At 35.1% G+C, this 19768-nt stretch overlaps 1 long non-coding RNA gene across 1 annotated transcript in view, besides 1 other annotated feature; it reads left to right on the top strand.

Moving 5' to 3' along the window:
• The first annotated feature begins 426 nt into the window (after window positions 1–426).
• The window catches only part of LOC105369146 (uncharacterized), a 46073-nt gene continuing 26731 nt past the window's right edge, over window positions 427–19768 (top strand). The window contains exons 1-3 of the long non-coding RNA NR_136264.1: window positions 427–532; window positions 1295–1516; window positions 1981–2126. This is a non-coding gene — a long non-coding RNA (uncharacterized LOC105369146). The remainder of the gene's footprint in view (window positions 533–1294; window positions 1517–1980; window positions 2127–19768) is intronic.
• Window positions 12120–12684: an enhancer, noted in NCBI's record as "OCT4-NANOG-H3K27ac hESC enhancer chr7:81178878-81179442 (GRCh37/hg19 assembly coordinates)". NCBI's record gives its function as "activates a minimal SCP1, AML or CMV promoter by ChIP-STARR-seq in primed H9 embryonic stem cells {active_cell/tissue: H9 hESC(primed)}" and the evidence as "EXISTENCE:reporter gene assay evidence [ECO:0000049][PMID:30033119]".

Genomic DNA, 19768 nt, shown 5'->3' with positions numbered 1-19768 from the left:
TTTGAGCTCAGGAAATATGTTTTGTCCAAATTAAGATATGCTACAGTTTTCAATTAAGCAATGAATTTCATAGAATTAGAATGAACAAACATGTAAACATATCAGTATTTTTGATATTGATTGTAATTTAAAATGGTAGTATTTGGGATATGTTTGATTAAATAAAATACTTTATTAAAATTAATTTTACTGTTTATGTGTATTTTAAAATATGGCTACTAGAAAGGTTTAAATTTCATAGGTGGCACACATTTATGGCTCACGTTATATTCCCATTGGACAGTGCTGTTCTAGAATATCACTTTCACTAATTAGTTACCAATATAAGTTTCATATGTCTTCATTTTGGATTCATGTAAATGACAAAAGAGAGTTTTAACCAAAGAAAACAAAGTGAACCATTGATATACTGTTTTTCATCTACAGATTGGACCTAGACATCTAGATTTTGATAATGCTATTTTTGCAGGAGTGCATTTCAAACATACATTGTTTGTGAAAGTGTCTAATGAAGGAAGTCCTGTACTATCAAGTAAGAAATTACCAATTTGAAATATTAAAATAGTTTGACATAGAAAACACCCAGTGCATTTAAAAATTGGATCTGAGAAGTTTGTCATATTTATAAGTATTCCAATAATCTGTTAAAGTATGCAATATATTCTTATATTAACCTATTTAGTGCTCATGCACAACTATTTAAAAACTGAGAGTCTACATAAAAACAAACTAGAGAGAATGAAACCCAAATGTTTAATACAGCACATTACAGTTATTAAAAGACAATGTCAAAAATCAACATTTTTAGAATACTTGTGTATTTAAAATCTTTCTCAAGGAATTATTTGTTTATTCTACTTTAGAGAAAATACTAATACTCAGATTCTCATAGTAAATAGCATTTATTTCATTATTATGCTGAAGTATTTTAATTATATTTCAATTGGTGAATAGTATGTCAGATTTTGGAAACTATGATCTTTAATTCAGAATAGTAGCATTTATATATAAACACACTGTAAAAGACAATTGCTTTGACAAGTGTTCAAAAAGAATCAATGGAATGTTTTACTCCTAAACTTATTTTAAAATGCTTTATAAGTGAAAAGGCAATAATTTAATGTTAAAACTTATCAATATAAATGTATAATTTATGCCCTGAGATTTTAGTATAAAATATAATAAATGTAATATATAATATGAGGTGTTAATTAAAAAATAAAAGAAAAAAAGGATTATTGAAGAAGACACATTATTGCCTAAGCTGCATTTTTACGTGCTTTCTTTTCCATAGCAATTATTACAGTCATTGTAAGGGTGAGTCGCATAAATGAACTGAATCCAATTGGAAGTGCGTCAGCATTTACCTTCAGTGTATTTGAAAATAGTCCAGTTGATACACTAGTTGGAAAAGTTACATTTACCGATGCAGACTGGCCATTTAATAATATGGAATATACCATTGTTGGAGGCAATTTGGGAACACCTCCCAAATTTTACATTGAACCAGATACAGGTATTGTAAAAACGCTGACATCAATTAATCATAAAAGTAAAGAGCTCATATACACTCATTGGAAATTTATTTTATTTAGAAACTATGATCATGAGAACATCTTAAAAACTTTCTCTTGAACTATTTAATGTTCACCTGGATTTGTTAGCTGTATCCATAAATTCTTACTTACCTAAGGCAAAGCACTAAAGCTTTGATCTTTGCTATATTGATCTTCAGAAAGGCTATGCACATGTGCTTTTCCATGTATCCAAGAACATGACTTAACAGGTGAGTAAAATAGTGCATACTTTAATACCTGTTATAATTACACTTTAGGGGTATGAATATATAATGAATTGATTTGTATTAGTTAATTTCTATTCATTATTGTAATGATTTCATTTATAGAATTAACATTTTAGAATAAATTGAAAATATTTACTAATCCTGGGATAACAGGTCTCCCTTTATTTTTGCATCAGGAGTGATAAAGCTATTAGATTCACTAAACAGAGAAATTGAATCACAGTACAAGATAGCTGTAAAAGTAACAGACTTGGACAACGATGCCATCCCTGACCCCCTCAGACAGAGAAGTGGTACTGCTCAGGTGACCATCAGTGTTCTGGTAAGAATGAGTCACTGCTTGTGACATTGTTATCCCTTTGAAAGCACATTCTAGAGAAATAAAAATGAGGGAAAGTTGTAAATGGTTACATTTCAGAGTCTTGGGTATGGATCTAAATTGAGAGAGTAGCATGTTGGTCCAAAAATATTCTAATTGTAACATACATTGATACAATTGTCATTATATGCAAATTAACCTGTGTGACTTCTAAACTAATTTGATTGTCTTACAAATCTGAACTTAGATGAAGAGTGCTGATACCTCTGGTTGTATTTCAGAAGTTGTTGGAAGGATTATTTTGTGGTTAAACATATTTCCATAAGCAAGCAAACATATATCCTAGAGTTTTAAGAAGTTAGTTTGATACATTTTAATCTGTTTTGGTGGTTTGTCTTCCTCTTCTCACCCTCTCTGGTTTTCAAGGAAGAAATATCTTAATATTCTTTACTGATAAAGATTCTGAGAGATCAGCCTCAGAGTCTCACAAACATGAAGTATAGAGGCAAAAATTCTAAGTTTTTCTAAAAAAAATTTTAATGCAAGAATATATTTTACTTGGCTTGTTCAAGACTTACATCAATAAAATTCTGTACATTACTTTCATTGGCAGAAGCATATAGAAAGAAAATTTGCCTTTATAGATAGTGCCAATTTTTTAATCTTATGATTTTGTTTACACTCTTTTTGCTACTTGAGAACAGTTAGAATTCTAACACTGGATCCTATGGAAAAGACAATAACTTCTCATAAAAAAATATTTAAAACCACAGACATTGTTTAGAGCCTGTGCATACTCTTGCATGGTGAACACTTTCATATGTGTTCTTAGTGAGCTAAAATGGTTAGTGGTAGTCATGACTCTGTTACAATCCCCCCTTTAGGCTTATTATGTCTGGAAAACACAATAAACCAGGCCAAAAATCTTTGTAGGGAGAAATTTAATAAAGTGACTTGAATGGCTTCAACCATGACTCAGAAGATGTCATAAGCTAATGAACCTATTCTCCTTATGCCAGCTTTCAATAATACATCCCAATACACTCTAAGACACAGTTTCTCAGTAGATGTCCTTCATAGTTGCACTTCTGCAAACTTATCAGTGTCACTTTCATTTCATGTGTGAATTCCTACATTCCAATAGGTATAAGAATAAATGATCTCTGTTCTTCATGTATAAAATCATTCAAATTTTTTCTCTTATGGGACTAGAAGTATTGGTTCAGGAAAGAATATTTGATTTCTTGAGAGTAGGCAAAAAGCTATACATTTCCTACCATCAGATGGGTGAGCTTAACTTTACTGAAGACACTGTTACTAAATTTAAATACCTTTTCTCTAAAAATACTTCCAACCAAACTTTAGGTGGAAGTTATCAAAATGCATCATTTAGAAAAAATAAGTTGAAGCCAAAATTCTCTAGTACAATAAAATTTTTTATACTACACTTTGTTCAAAAAAAGATTGAAGCTGACATATGAAAGTAAACTCAATAGAGTATTATTACCTAAAGCCAGGGCAGAGATGGATGAATTTTATCTGTAAGAATAAACAAATAACAAAAATTTATGTTATTTATAAATGGAAGTTCAATACTGTTATGGACTGAATGATTATACCCCCCCTTCTCAGTTCACACATTGAAGCCATAACTCCCAGTGTGACTGCATTTGGAAATTACTCATGTTTGTATTTGGAGGTAATTAGGATTAGAGGAAGAAATGAAGGTGAGGACATGGTCTGATGGTATTCATGTCCTTCTAAGAAAAGACACCAGAGAGCTTGCTCTCCCTCTCTGCCATATGAGGACACAATGAGAAGGTGGCTACCTGCAAACCAGGAAGAGAGCCCTCACCAGAAACTGAACACTGCCAGATCTTTATCTTGGACTTACCAACCTCTAGAACTGTGAAAAAATAATTTCTTTTGTTTAAGCCATGCTATGTATGGTATTTTGTAATGGCTGTTCAAAGTATCCTAAGAGAAATACCAATTTTGGCTTAGCAAACATAAAAATGTTAGAAAGTTATAGCATTAAAATATATATTTCTAGTAAATGATAGATACATATATATATATATATATATATATATATCAATGGAAAATAATAGTACATCTAGGATCCAAGATATAAAATAGTAGGTTAATGATAAATTATTACATAAATGAAGTTAGAATAAGAATCCATTTTGGAAAACAATGAACACTGTTTCCTACTTTAAAAAGATAAAAAATTAATATGTAACAATCTTTAATATGAAGAAACATATGAAAATAATTATGAAATGTTAATTTAGGAAGGGTCATCACAAGGCAAGCATGAATTCTCATTATATGCAAATTAACCTGTGTGACATCTAAGAGAGTTGGGACCTCATGTAGGACAAGATTGCTAGGTCTAACTACAAAGACAGTTAACCTGTCTTCAGTCCAAAAATAGCATAAAGCAAATTAAAAAGGAAACAAAACATTAGCACAAATATATTTGAAGCATTTATAAAGTAATTTCAAATATTAATATTTTTAGTCAATAAAGTGTTTTTTATAATCAGAAAGAAAAAATCTCAACAGGAATTGAAAGTTAATATATGAAAAATATTACCAACTTTACTAGCAAGTAAAGAAAGGAAAATGAAACAATCTAATTTTTTTTTGTATTGAATTATAAAATAAAGCAGATGATATTTTTTGTTGGAAATGGTATGGGGAATTGACAGCTCATTTCTGTGGGAATTCAAATTGAATTGGCACAAGGTTTTTCTGAAGGTTTTTGGCAACACATACAAATTAATATTCACATTTTATGTGTGAAGAAGCTCTTGTTTACAGAGTTAAATAACCAACCTAGCATAGTTATTGAAAGTAGAGCCAATCCTTAGTCCCAGCCCTTTAGTTACAATACCCTTCTATCATCTGACAAAAACATAACCACAAAGACTACTCTCACGATTCCTGTGGTGGAAAAGTATCTCAAATCATAGCAATCATTATTTTATAAACATCTGGAAATCTTTCATAGATGATTTCCCATGTGATTAAATATTTTTCTCCACATGATCTCTATGTCTTGAAAATTTTAATTGAAGCAGTTCGGATATAGAGTGTCTACCTTTTGTTTCTAAAATAACAACAACAAAAGACTCCTAATATAGCACCCAAAAAACACGTACACAAGATTCTGCTATATCCTCCCAGATAAACTAATTTCCAAATGTATGTTAGCATGTCTTAATGAGATAAATTTTACAGATGCCATTAGCTATTGCCAACTTCAAATTTGTTATTGCCAATTGATTTATTGATCTGAAGCTCATGTTTCTAAGAAAACTCTTAGGTCATGGTAATAAACTGCATCATGATGATAAACTGGTTGCTAGAAAATGCATATTTCACAGAAGCAAGAATTGGGTGGCACACACCTTTGTTTTGACAAAATCAGGCACTAGATTTTCAAGGAACATTTTAAAAGGAAGGAAGTTCAGCACACATCCCACTTTCACCCTACAAATAATTATCACCTGTTTTTTTGTTGTTTGTTTGTTTGTTTGTTTTTGAGATGGAGTCTCGCTCTGTCACCCAGGCTGGAATGCAGTAGCGCAATCTCGGCTCACTGCAACCTCCACCTCCCGGGTTCAAGCGATTCTCCTGCCTCAGCCTCCCGAGTAGCTGGGATTACAAGCATGTGCCACCACACCCAGTTAATTTTTGTATTTTTAGTAGAGACGGGATTTCACCATGTTGGTCAGGATGGTCTCCATCTCCTGACATCGTGATCTGCCTGCCTCGGCCTCCCAAAGTGCTAGGATAACAGGCGTGAGCCACCACGCCCGGCCATATCACGTGTTTTATAATAAAGGCAATTCCTAACCACTATGACTTCCAAGGATATTTGAAATCTCTTTTGGCTACTGTCATTACGTAATGACATCTACTCATCTGCTTTCATCCTTGGATTATAGCATCAGCTTTAAGAACTCTGGATTTTGAATTCAATTTAATGCATCCTTTACTCTCTTCTGTACCTCTTAGTATTCTTCTTATCCTTCAAGGCCCAATGCATTCCTTTTACATGAAGCCTCACTTTTAAAATACAGTGCAAACATTGGGCCAAACTGTATGGTGGTGCCTCTGGTCATTCTGAGAACTAACTTATCTACTTTCAAAAAGCTTGCAGCCTGGTATAGTTATTCTTATCTAGGTTGCATGTCACTCACTAAGATGCTCCATTTGGGGTTGTAAGATGTACAAATTTGTTTCAAATGTAAATTATAGACAACTCAAATTAAGTTACGAAAGAACAAATTGCTGCTGCCTCCTGCTATTCCTGATCCCAGTGTTAACGGTGGAGGGTGTCCAGGTTCTTGGCCTCTTGAAAAAAGCATTGGACAAAACACACAAAGCAAGGAAGAAATGATGGGTTTTACTGAAAATGAAAGTATACTCCACCGTGTGTGGGCAGGCCTGAGCATAGGGGCTCAAAGGCCTGTTACAGAATTTTGGGGCGTTTAAATACCCAGTACTTGGGGTATACCCTATGTAAATGAAGAGGATGAAGTAAAGTTACAAAGTCATTTACTTGGCCTACAGACATATGGAGAGGATATTTCCTGTCATATCTGAAGTGTGAATCGGCTTATGTTCCCTGCCTCCAGACCCTATTTTCCTGCCTCATCTCCCCACGGAGAGATGTGATCCCCATAAATCTTTGTGGGAGGCAGAGGGACCAATGATCTTTTTTCTGTAACTGCTTCATGCTGGCTTGAGGCATAGTGGCCCTATCTGTTGGGGATCACAGAACTCATCCTGCTCTATCTAGTGGAGGCAGGGTAGCGTCTTGATGGCCAGGGGTGGTGTCTTCACCTGGAACTGGTTGGAACCTTTGTTGCATGATCATCTGAAGGAGGATAGTCTCTAGGCTAGAGGAAATGAATTTGTTTAAAATATTTAATGGGAACTTCCGGGGGTGGATACCTATGCTGTCAGAAATGTTTGTTATAAAGATTTGCAGAAGAAAAAACAAAACTTGGTTGTTCTCGAATCCATGTGTTTCCTTAAAGTCTTAGCACAAAGACTCCATTTTGGTTTGGTTTGGTCTGTTGGGGCCTGGTGCATGAGCTGAGTCCAAAACAATGGCCTCCCAGACTTTTGTTTTAAAAATTCCCCCTTTTTGGTCAGGTTCTCACTTAGGTGAAAGTATGACCAAAACTTAGGGCCTCAGCACCACTCTTAGTTACCATCATTTTGGGTTTCTGGTCTCAGCATGTCATTTATAGATTACAGTGTCCTTACTGTTGCACATTTCTTTCAGCTCTTGTCATTCCCATTGAAGAGAGACCATAAGACATTCTAGAGATGGCTGCATGCAAGCATTTAAAACCTTTGAGAGAATACAGCTCACCAGGGAGACTATTACTATGACTATTGGGAGGATAATACCAATAGTTCAGAGTATGTTCCTTACCCAGGGTCCCCATAAACCAAACCACCTAAAATTAAATAGATTAAAGAATGAGCTAAATGAAGAGTCTACTTGCTTGACTACGTGGTCTTTTCATTAATCCTCTACAACTGAATTTTTATAATCTGCATTTGATGTATTTCTCCATAGGCCACAAGTGTCAGCAGCTGCACAGGTACTTTTCTGTTTACTAAATTCTATTATTTAGCATAATTTTCACAAGAGAATTCAAAGTCTGTTGTGTAACAATAACCTTTAAAGTAGAATTAGCTACAGAGCCTATCATGAGGTATACATTTCTAATCATTGCTTCTTTTACTTTAAACCATGGAAAAAGGACCTAACAAATGATGCCCTTCTAGAAGAGTGAAGGCCTCCTGGCAGTGTACTCTTTAACCCATGATGTGGGTTTAGAGGAGTGAACCAATGTTTTGTTTTTGACTGATTATGAGGCAATGTATGTACCATTAAAGTTTCTTGCCTACATTGGGCCTTTGTCTTTATCTATCAAAGATAAGGTTATCCATGTATAAGGCTGGCTGCAAACTCCTTCACAAATAAAAGTATAACCCCATAAGTGCACATAACAGACCGCTTTTTTGTTTGTTTGTTTGTAGAGGCATGAGCAAGAAAAAAAATATTCAAAGAAAAGAGTTTCACGACAGTAAAAGTCTTAACCTGTGAACTTGGGAAAGGCTGTTCACATCAAGGATGCCATGTTCTTCTTGGGAGAAATTTCCCTGGTTAAGTTTACCCTTGTTAAGGTTTTACAGATTATTGGTAAAATACATTCCAATGGGTACACAGTTCCAAAAGTGTGGTGGGATCTCAATTTTGAGACTATGAACCCAAAGCCCAAGGTCCTGAAGTTTTGTTGTAGTGTGGATGGCAAGGACAGTCTTTCTCCGATGTTCTCAGAGGATACAAACCATAAAAAGCTTTTTTACCTGGTGAAAATACAGTGTAGCATAATAATCTGTTATAATATCAGCCCTCTTCCATGGGAAAACTTTTATACAACCAGAAAACATGCATTGACAATGACCCTTTATAAACTGTTTAAATGGCCCACCAAGTGACCAACTGTACCTGAAGCTTTAATTATGTGCCCAGGAATATAGGATCAAGCACTGTTTATAAACTATTTAAACAATTTCAGTATCAGCTGGTTTAACATGAAAATCTGACAAGGTATTTTCCTGGTGTTTAATTAATTTTTGTTCTACTTGAGTTAGTAGCTTTATACAAGGAAATTTGGTTATTTCTGTGGTTTACCATAACTTAGCATAATAACCATAATTATAATTGATAGCATATACTATTTCAGAAATCCCATACTATTTTGGAACATATATTAGTATTATTCACAAAAATATAACCTAAAGAATATTGAACATCATTTTGGCAATTCCATGTACCTAAACATGACAAATACCCCTGTTTACCTCATTTCTGGATGTTTTCAGGGGCCCTCTGATCCATCCAGAAAACCAGGCATTAAGAAAGACAAATTTGAAACTGAAGTTTGATTTTGGAATTCCAGCTTACCATAAATTACTTATTTTGTCAAAATGATGATGCAGAAATTTTAAAGAAGCAAAAACCTTTTATAACATTTTACAAAAGAAAAAATACATTCTACTGTTTTTACACACCTTGCATGTGAAACTGTTTCTAGTAGTATTAACTGCAAGTTACAGTGGCGACTCTTAGCAATTTTAACTTTAATGTAAAACCTGGTAAGTTGTGTTCTAAGGTTTGACTATTTCCAGCATAGTTAGGAGTGTGGCCAACTCCACGTTTCTCCTGGCCTTATCTAGCTGGAAAGCAGGCAAGTTAAACAATTTTCAAAAGCCAAAGAAGCAGTTTATGACCTGAAAGCATTTAGAAAACCTAATATTTGAACATAATTTAGACCACATGTGTATATTTTGAATACATTGTATTTTACCAATAATCTGTAAAACCGTCTTTATTTCCCAAAGACTGCTAAAGTCATGTGAACTAAGAGGCAGTACGTTTTCTACTTTTCTGGCAAAATATTTTATTTAAGCTCTCATTATTATTAAACCAATTAATTTAAAACTTTACAGAGGTGATTAACCAGTTTGCACAGAAAGAAAGAGGCCAGAGATTGACTGGTAAGAAATTCTTATCCTTTTGCTGGCATGCCAGGTTTCTGAGTTCTCTCTCCCTAAGCAGCCTTAGTGACCCTGCTTGACTGTATGCAAACAAACATATTGCCATGAATTAAGAATATTCACAAATAGTTTACAAATTTTGGAGAAATTAGGCAGAGAGAGAGAAATATGACTCCAATTCTATTTATGAAAGTATACTCAACATGCTTAAAGTATTAGCCTAAAATCTAAAAAGTTAGTTTATAAGGATAAAAAGTTGGTGTGTTCCATTAATTACTGCGGCCTGACCAAGGTACCTTGGGAATTCCAGATAAATGGAATAAATGATGACTCCCTATAAATGCATAGGAAACAAAATAACTATTCATAGAACCAAATACAAGCCTTCCACTAGAAACTAAAAAGCATCATGCTTTTATATATAAGGATACACAAGCAAAGCCAGAGGAGAATAAACAGCAAACAAATGAAAACTAGAAGCAAAAACAAACAGGAAACCAACCCTAAATTTTCCTACTCAATTTACCCTGGAGACTATAGTGTTACCTAGGGCCCCCAAAACCCACATAATGAATATTTCATTCCTGACACACAATTCAATATTCTTAAGTTCACCAATATCATTATACATTCTGTCCAATCAAGAAATCCACTTTAGGCACCTGACCAATAAGTACTCTAGCATTATCTATGAAAAACAGTAAACATAGTGTGAAGCAAAGCAAGCATGTATGTGAAATTTGGCTCCATGCTAAATCCAGCTTCATGCTTAACTATATTAAAAAAAAATTGCCAAACTGCCTATGCATTTTTTACAATACTTCTTATTTGACTTTAATCAAGACTAAGAGCTTTAACTATGAACATGTTAATTTGCAAAATGTCCCCAATTCTTTATTAGGTTCTTAAGAATATTTTATTATATAAACTTTTTCCACATCTTTCTCCCTTACTTAATGATTCCTTACTACATTGTTTCATAAACAACCTTTTTAAATCTGTAATTTAACTTTTAGATAACTTTTGAATTAGACAAAATTATTCTTTTTCCACTCATAACATAACTCTTTCTGGCACATTTTGTATACAGAATTATGTGTTAACCAGAATTTTATCCTTAGTAAACTGAAACTTTAGTGAAACCCTAAAAAGCAAGAAATCCTGAACTATTAGATATGGGCATTTATAGATAAGAACAACTCCACAATTTTAGTAGCATACTTCCCCATATTACAACACTTTCTTAATTGGAAATGACCCAGATATTAAATGAGCATTAAGAATAACTTTAAGATTTTAATTTACACAAAAAGTTTACCTCAAACATTTATCCTAATCACTGTACTTAATTTTTTACTTTTAACAAGGGAGATGAGACACCAATCAACATATGTAAAATGAACCTTCCTTTGGTCCTGAAAGGCAGGACAACTCGAAGTGGGAGGGGAGTTGGGGCTTCCAGGTCACAGGTAGGTGTGAGAGGAATGGTTGCATTCTTTTGAGTTTCTGATTAGCCTTTCCAGAGGAAGCAATCAGATATGTATTTATCTCAGTGAGACTTTGAATAGAATGGGAGGCAGGCTTTCCCCAAGCAGCTCCCAGCTTGAATTAACACTGACATTTTAAAATATCTAGCAAAGACAAACATAAAATTCAGACAAAAATGTATACTGACAATTCTGATGGCATTTCTATTTTTATTCCACCCATAATTTTAAAGCTAGCTTGTTTAGTAAAGTTACACTTTAAGTCACGTGAACTTGAAAACTGCTTACACTTATTTACTTAATTTATGAGCGTTCTTTTACTTATAAGCCAATTTTGGTAAAACATATAACAATAAGTGTACATACAAATAAACACTTCTAGACATGTATGCACACACAAATGAAGATCCAATGGCTTGGAACCTTAGCCATGAGATAGCAATAAAAGCTTGCTGGTTTTACTTCTTTGCCCCAGTAGATAATCCAATAAAGGCTGTGAACCAAACTTTTGGGTAAAGCAGTCTCCATAGCAGTTTGATTTTTCTTTTTCTTTTCTTTTTTTTTTTTTTTTTGAGACAGAGTCTCACTCCGTAGCCCAGGTTAGAGTGCAGTGGCATGATCTCGGCTCACTGCAACCTCCACCTCCCAATCCCGGTTCAAACAATTCTCCTGTCTCAGCCTCCCAAGTAGCTGGGATTATAGGCATGCTTCACCATGCCCAGCTAATTTTTTTGTATTTTTAGTAGAGATGGGGTTTCACCATGTTGACCAGGCTGGTCTTGAGCTCCTGACCTCATGATCCATCGCCTCGGCCTCTCAAAGTGCTGGGATTACAGGTGTGAGCCACCGCACCTGGCCTGGCAGTTTGATTCTTAAAGGCCAAACCTCTCCAGACTCCAAAGAGCCCTGGTGCCAAACAGTACCAAAGGGGGGTGTCACACATTAATCAGTCCCCCTGCTTAGAACCGCAGAACAAAAGCGTGGATACATGCAATGCCATTCTGCTTTCCCATTCAACAGTAAACTCCAGATTCCAAACAATGTTGGGGCCAAACAGCATTGCAACTATGAGAGAAAATCCTAAGGAGGGCTTAGTACTAGACCTCAGAACCTCTGCGGAGAGCAGAGAGCATCCCCTTGGGGAAGGTTGAGGTCTGCAGGCCCCCCGGACGGTCCTCCTGTGGGGTCCAATCTGACCTTAGGTGGGCACCAGCGGCGAGTGCCGGTTTTCCCCTCCAGAGCATACTATGAGCTTTGTAAGAATAGCCATGAACTGTAATGAGAACTGGGTGCCAGGTGGGCCTTTTTGTCCTTAGCCAGTTGAGTATGACAAGGGAAGAATTTAGCATAAGAAAAGAATGTTTAAGTCCCCTGAAACATGTGTGAGTTTGCTCTGAGGTGCACCACACGCAGGGATCGGGGAACACCTGCAGAAAAGATTTTTTAAAAAGTCCTTTCCCCTATGGGGCAGAGCAATTATAAACAGCCACTGAAAGACTGAAAAAGAAAGGAAACAAAAATCAAACAGACCCAGATTCCTTAAGCAAACCTGGTGTTGGCAGTTAGGCGTCTCCGCATGGAAACCCCTTAGTTTCACTGGCCATGGCCAGAAACCTGCAGTTGCTTCCATGTTTAGGCGCTGCCCACCAAGGATCCCCGGTTGGAAAGGAAAAGAGAGAGAGAGACAGAGACAGAGACAGACAGAGAGGGAGAGAGAAAGAGAGAAAGAGAAAGAGAAATTCCCCTGTATGGAGCAGAAAGGAAAAGGAGAAAGGAGAAAAATAAATCCCAAACTTTGGGCTAACCTCTTCCTCCTGGCTGGCTCTCCAAAATATGTTAACAGTGGAGGGTGTCCAGATTCCTGGTTTCTTGAGCAAAGAATTGAACAAAACGCACAAACAGAGCGAGGAAGGAAGGAAAGGTTTTATTGAAAATGAAAGTACACTCCAGGCCGGGCATGGTGGCTCACGCCTGTAATCCCAGCATTTTGGGAGGCCAAGGTGGGCGGATCACGAGGTCAGGAGATCGAGACCATCTTGGCCAACATAGTGAAACCCCATCTCTACTAAAAATACAAAAATTAGGCGGGCATGGTGGCGCATGCCTGTAATCCCAGCTACTTGGGAGGCGGAGGCAGGAGAATCCCTTGAACCAGGGAGTTGGAGGTTGCAGTGAGCCGAGATCGCACCTCAGCACTCTAGCCTGGCGACAGAGCAAGACTCTGTCTCAAAAGAAAAGTACACTCCACAGTGTGGGAGCAGGCCTGAGCATAGGGGCTCAAAGGCCTTGTTACAGAATTTTGGGGCGTTTAACTACCCTCTACTTGGGGGTATGCCCTATGTAAATGAAGAGGATGAAGTAAAGTTACAAAGTCATTTACTTGGCCTTCGCCCTGTGGAGAGGATATTTCCTGTCATAGCTGAAGTGTGAATTGGCCTTATGTTCCCTGCCTCCAGACCCTATTTTCCTGCCCCACCAGGAGCACCATAATCAGCAGTATTACAATTTACACGATTTACAATTTATTTCCATTTTCACCTAGAAGGTAAATATTCCAAAGAATTTCCTGGCACAAAACACCTGGAAATGTATGATAGAATATAACTAGCCTTTAATGTGGAAATGTGACCTCAAAAAAAATTAGGGGATATTTCAGGGGCCAAAAACAGAGGCTCCTCAATGATGCCAAGTGCCCTGAGAGCATCTTCTCTGTAAAGAAGAGGTTTAGGTTTCACAGCCACTTGGAAACAGGAAGTAAAACTTTGGGAGCAATAAGGGCAGGCAGTTGGAACCTCATAAAATAAGAGGTCCTTCAGGATGAAAACTTGGAAAGGACACCTTCACACGCTAGCCTGGAGTAGACAATAAGAAAGTTTGCCCATCTAGGCCTAGGCTCTGAATTAAGGGGAAAACGCGTCCTCCAAAATGTAAAGGAAATATATTGGGTTTGAATTATGCACACTGCAAATTATTGGAAAACCCAGACAAGACGTTAAAAGGAAAGGGGTCTTGGTGTTTTATTGTGAGGAATTCCTGGCAGAAACAAAAGCAAAGCTTCCCTAGAGAGGCCTAACATCCACCTAAGCAGCAGAAAATTCCTGAAGAAAAAAATTTGGCAGAAAATGGGCTCAGAATCTAAAATTACGAACTCTTAGAAAACAGCCATAACTTACAGACCAATGCACAGCTATTTCACACCCATTTCACTGGCTGTAACCCGAAATGACTGGGGAGAAGTGGCTTTGAACCTGGGTACAATGCACAGGCTAGTGTACTTTTGTAAGTTGACTTCGTGAACAGGTATTGTTTACTTCCTCCTGTTGTGAGATTTATTTCTGACTTCAGTACAGATGATAATATGACAGTGTTGTGGCTTTATTTTATATTAGTGAGCTGCTAATTGTTATTGAGATGCTAATTATTAACATATGTTATGGTGTTTACTTCACAATAAATCTGCACAGAAGCTCTAGGTAGTATTGGCATATTTGAGTATACCTTTTGTAAAAGAAATATGAAAAAATAACTTTTTATAGATCATTTTTGCAATGACAATGATTAGAAATTAGTGACTACAATGTTTACATTGTACCTAGTTTCAAATCACCAAGGCATTCTGAATATTTCAACAAAGTGCTCATTAGTGAAAATTAAATGTGGTCCTGATATTTACAAGGGCACTATTTATTGTAATAAAATAAGCTGTAGGTCATTTAGTATTGTGTCGGTTGAGAACTTGTTACTAGAAGCATCCAACCAAGTTGCATTGTTACAAGACAAGGAGCCTCACGTTATTTGTAAAAAGTGAGAAAAACAATTTATTGGAAAATTGAAAAATAGTTCTGAGACCAGATGAGCTGAAGAAGTTTCAACAGATTTTCTTATCAAATCATAATTTGTGAGTTGAGTCCTGATACCTGAAACAAGTTTTTACAAAGTTATAAAAACTTGTCCTTTTAAATGGGTGTGACCTTGGTGGCTTCTCTTGGCTATCAGTGTTGTACCTTATGTAAATTAGGAAAAGCACATAGAAGGAGGCCTTTCTTGTGAAACAAAGAAAATAACTGCAAGGAAATGTACATTTATCTAATCAAAGACAAAATTTTTGTATCTGTAACACACAAGGTAAGTAAATCAATATTCACCGATAATGCTCCTGCCTAGATCTGAAGAAAAATTAAGAATATCTTTACTGATATATAAAAAAGTAGCATAATCATATATTGTCTATTACCCCATCATGTACTTGCTGACAAGAATTTGGATTAAAAAAAATGGAAGGCTCTTTTGTCTCCTGCAAAGAGCATGATAAATTTTCTTAGAGCATATTTTCTAAATAATCACTGTCACTTCAGTGATTCTTTTAAAGAAACTGTTACCAAACACATGCCCTTTATTTGTAAACACTAAAAGGAGTATAGTGCTTTAAACTGGACATGTAAAAATATAAGCTATTTCTTTTACCTCTAAAAATACTAATAGAGTCAATGATATAAATTAATGTTTGTCTTTCTTTGAATGTGTTTATGAATAGTCAAATTCTTAAAACTGACTGCTGTTTTAAGGAACTAGTCTGAAAGTACATGGCAACAACCCCATTAAATTTATCTAGTTTTATAAGAAAATTGCCTCTTTGGAAAAGAAATTTTAAGAATTTTGCTTTCTAACAGAGAGATGTTAGAAAATTCAGAAATGACCATCTGAAGCATGAAGGCATTACCAAGAGCTGAATGTCTGTCTGTGGCTATTTTTCTCTTGGAAAGCTTTTCATGCCAAAAAAATAAAAATAAATGGATACTGAATCTATTCATCTTTAACCTGGATGCCTACTAACCGCTAGAGCCATTAACTATATGCACATGTATTTAGTGACAATGATGTTGCCAAATTTCTTTTATACCACTGCATGATGTTTAGAGCAGAGATTCTTCAGCCAGAATGCTTGGCTAAGAATCCCAGGTTCACCACTTAAGGTTTTTTGTGAAGCTGGGCAAGTTATTGAACCTTTCTTAACTTGATTCCTCATTGTAAAATGGTGATAATAGTAGTGCCTACCCCTGAAGGTAGACATGAGGTTTTTAAAAGCAAATATTTGTAAAGTACTGAGTGGCTCATAGTAATAAGCACTATACAAGTGTTCCATAAATGAATAAACTAGAAACATTTCCATAGCTGGAGAAGAAAGTGATGAAAATTGTTGTTCTTTTGCTTGTACATAGTTAAGATTGGATTTTCGTCATTGCCTCATCAAAACAAAAACTAGAAACCACTTAAGTGTGACTGATAAACACTTCAAAAATATTCTAATTTTTTGCAGATTATGGAATAAAAGCCTCAGCATAAAAATCACTAAGCTTGGATATTTTTAAAAAGCATAATGTTTCGTAACTTGTTTATGTTAATATAAAACTGAAACTGTAAATCAATTTCTTGCATGCACTAAATATGGCATAACTTAAAAATTTTAAAAATATAGCATAAAGAACTAACCTACTACAGATTTTATTTATAAGATGTGAGATCACACTTTGAGAAAAAAATTTTGAAAAATGCAAGCTGAAGGAAACAAAAGAAGAAGAAGGAAAAAACCCATCACAGTTCTAGTAGAAATTTAAATTGGAAATTAATTGTTCTTTTTCAGTGTCCCAGTGATTTTTTTACATCTATATTTTGTCACAGAAATCTTTCTGGCTTATATAATAATAAACACTCTTTATCTTATGAGGTAGTTAAGCCCTTGAAGGCAGGATTCTTTCTTGTTATCTTTTATCTCTATGTAATAAGCATAGAATTTCTTTCATGTATATATATGTATATATTCAGTAAATAAGTACATAATTACTGTCTGTAAATCAATCTATCTATCTACACATCTATCTATCTATCTATCTATTGATCTATCTATCTATCTATCTGTAAATTTCTTAGGAACTCTGAGTAGAAAAAAATGCATTGTGGCCTAAGTGCTTATTGTCAGTAAGTATGAGAATTCTAGAGCTGGAGAAAACCTAGGAGAAACTTATATTTCTCTATCATTTTACACAAAAGAAACTTAGACTTGCCTCACTGATATTCAAAAGCAATGTGACTATCGATGTTTTCTCAAACGTGCAGCTTTGCAGTCATGTAGTTGAAGTAATGACAGAGAAATTATTTTGTGCTTACCAGATCCTGTTTTATTTTATGGGTACAGAGGGATACTACATTTTCTGACTTCTTTTCAGTGAGATTGGGGCCACATGACTCAGATATAGCAGATGCCCCTTCCCAAGCCTGCAATAAAAACCCAAGTGTAAAGTCCACTTTGCCTTTGCAAGGTGATTTTAGGTCGTCTTTTAAAGACAGAAACATTATGAGATGAAAGGAACTTGGATCTCTAAGTCACTCCTTGAGAAAACTCTTCCAAGGTGAGCTTCTTAACATGTTTTATTGCGATAGGGAAGAATTAACCTTGTTCCAAGTTAAGTGAATCAGATTTCATGTTTTAGTTGTTACTGCAACATGGTATAGTCTATTTTGCCTAATGCAGAATTTCCTGGATGATAGTCAGATTTTCCCAAATAGTTGGAATTTCCACAAGTTTCTTCCCATCTTTATGTTGCATGCTTTTATAGCAAACAGCAATCTTTTGTTGTTTTTTTTTTTTTTTTTTTTTTCCTGAGACAGTGTCTTGCTCTGTTGCCCAGGCTAAAGTGCAGTGGCGTGATCTGCAACCTCCGCCTCCTGGGTTCAACCAATTGTCCTGCCTCAACCTCCCGAGTAGCTGGGATAACAGGCACACGCCACCATGCCTGGCTAATTTTTGTATTTTTTTAGTAGAGATGGGGTTTCACCATATTGGTCAGGCTGGTTTCCAACTCCTGACCTTGTGATCCGCCTGCCTCAGCCTCCCAAAGTGCTGGGATCACCAGCATGAGCCACCACACCTGGCAACAGCAATCTTTTTCTAGTATCAAGACACTTCTTTTATGCTCTCATGGTTTTATTTAGGTTATAAGATTATGTAAAAATTTATATAAGCAACTGGTTTGGGGAAAAATTATAGGTTTCAATTTTACCAGCTAATATTCTTTGAAACTATGTGCTTTTCTAATTCTTTGATATTTTTTGCAGTACTGGTAAATGATAAAATATAAGGAAACCCAGAGGTTTCTTGGTAAAGTTTAATATTTACTTATTTTAACAAATATTTATTTCAGCTTCCACAATAATAAAAGATAATATTGTGTTTTGAAAATCACAGAAAATGATATTGAAATATCTGTGCAATCTGAAATTTATCTGTATTGGCATTTTTATTCCAGTATTAAGTGATTTATTAAATCAACTACTTGAGATGAACATTGTCTCTGATTTGGCCTCATCTTTTATTTTTACTGGAATACAATTGACCTGGGGCTAATGACTCAATGTTATATGAGGGTATTATATATCATTACAAGAAACCAGTGTATTTCTTGGAAAAAACACACAAATATATACTCACATATAGATATATGTGTTTATCTGCACGTGTGCATATTTATATATATAATATACATATATGTATCTACAGAGAGAGAGAGAGATTTGATAATTAAACAAAACCAAGAGACAAAAATGGACATAAAATGGCATTTCCTGTCTTGAAAATTTCAAATTCTTCTGTAAATTATTCCATTGTTAAGTGGGGGAAAAATAAATCACAGGACTTATTCCCCATAATACATTATTAACCAGAAATACAGAATCTTTTATTTAATTTAAATTTTAGCAAAATTAATAAAAAGTAAGCATATATAACACATCTTTAAATAAAAGCATGTATATTTATTTCCTAAATGATAATTCACATACTATTATTATTATTATTTCAGATGCATGAACTTAAAATAATTTTAATTATTTTCGTGGCATTATAATCTTGGGGATGGGATTTATATTCTATAACAATACTTTCCTAATGATCTGTAAACATTTCTGAAAATATGAGAAATATGTGCATCCTATTAGCTTTAAATACTGAGTGTATTTGATTATTTTTGTTTGTTTTCTAGGGCTGCTGTAACAAAGTAACACAAACTGGGGGTGGCTTACAACAGCAGAAATGTATTCCCTTCCAGTTCTGCAGGCTAGAAGTCTAAAATCAAGGTGTCAGCAGAGCCATGTTCTCTCTGAACACGCTAGGGAATAATCTCTTCCATGCCTCTCTCTTAGCATCTGCTGTTGCTAGAAGGCCTTGGCATTCCTTAGTTTGCAGACACATTACTCCCATCTCTGTCTTTTTTGTCATCTCTGCCTTTGTTGTCATATGATGCCCTCCCTGTGTGTCTCTGTCTGTGTTGATTCTCCCCTTCTTATAAGGATATTATTTTGGGTTAAGAGTACACACTACTCTAACATGATTCATCTTAACTTGATTACATACACAAAGAATATATTTCTAAAAAATATTAAACTCATAGGTATCAGGAGATAAAACTCGAACATATATTTTTGAAGGGCTCAATTCAAATCATAGCAATCACATATGTCATCTTAGTCAATTTCTATTTTGGAAAGCAAGTTTAAAATAATGGT

Source organism: Homo sapiens, chromosome 7 (genome assembly GCF_000001405.40).
Source record: "Homo sapiens chromosome 7, GRCh38.p14 Primary Assembly".
NCBI lineage: Eukaryota > Metazoa > Chordata > Mammalia > Primates > Hominidae > Homo > Homo sapiens.
The sequence above is the reverse complement of the archived record's forward strand: the minus strand, read 5'-3'. Positions and strand labels throughout refer to the sequence as shown.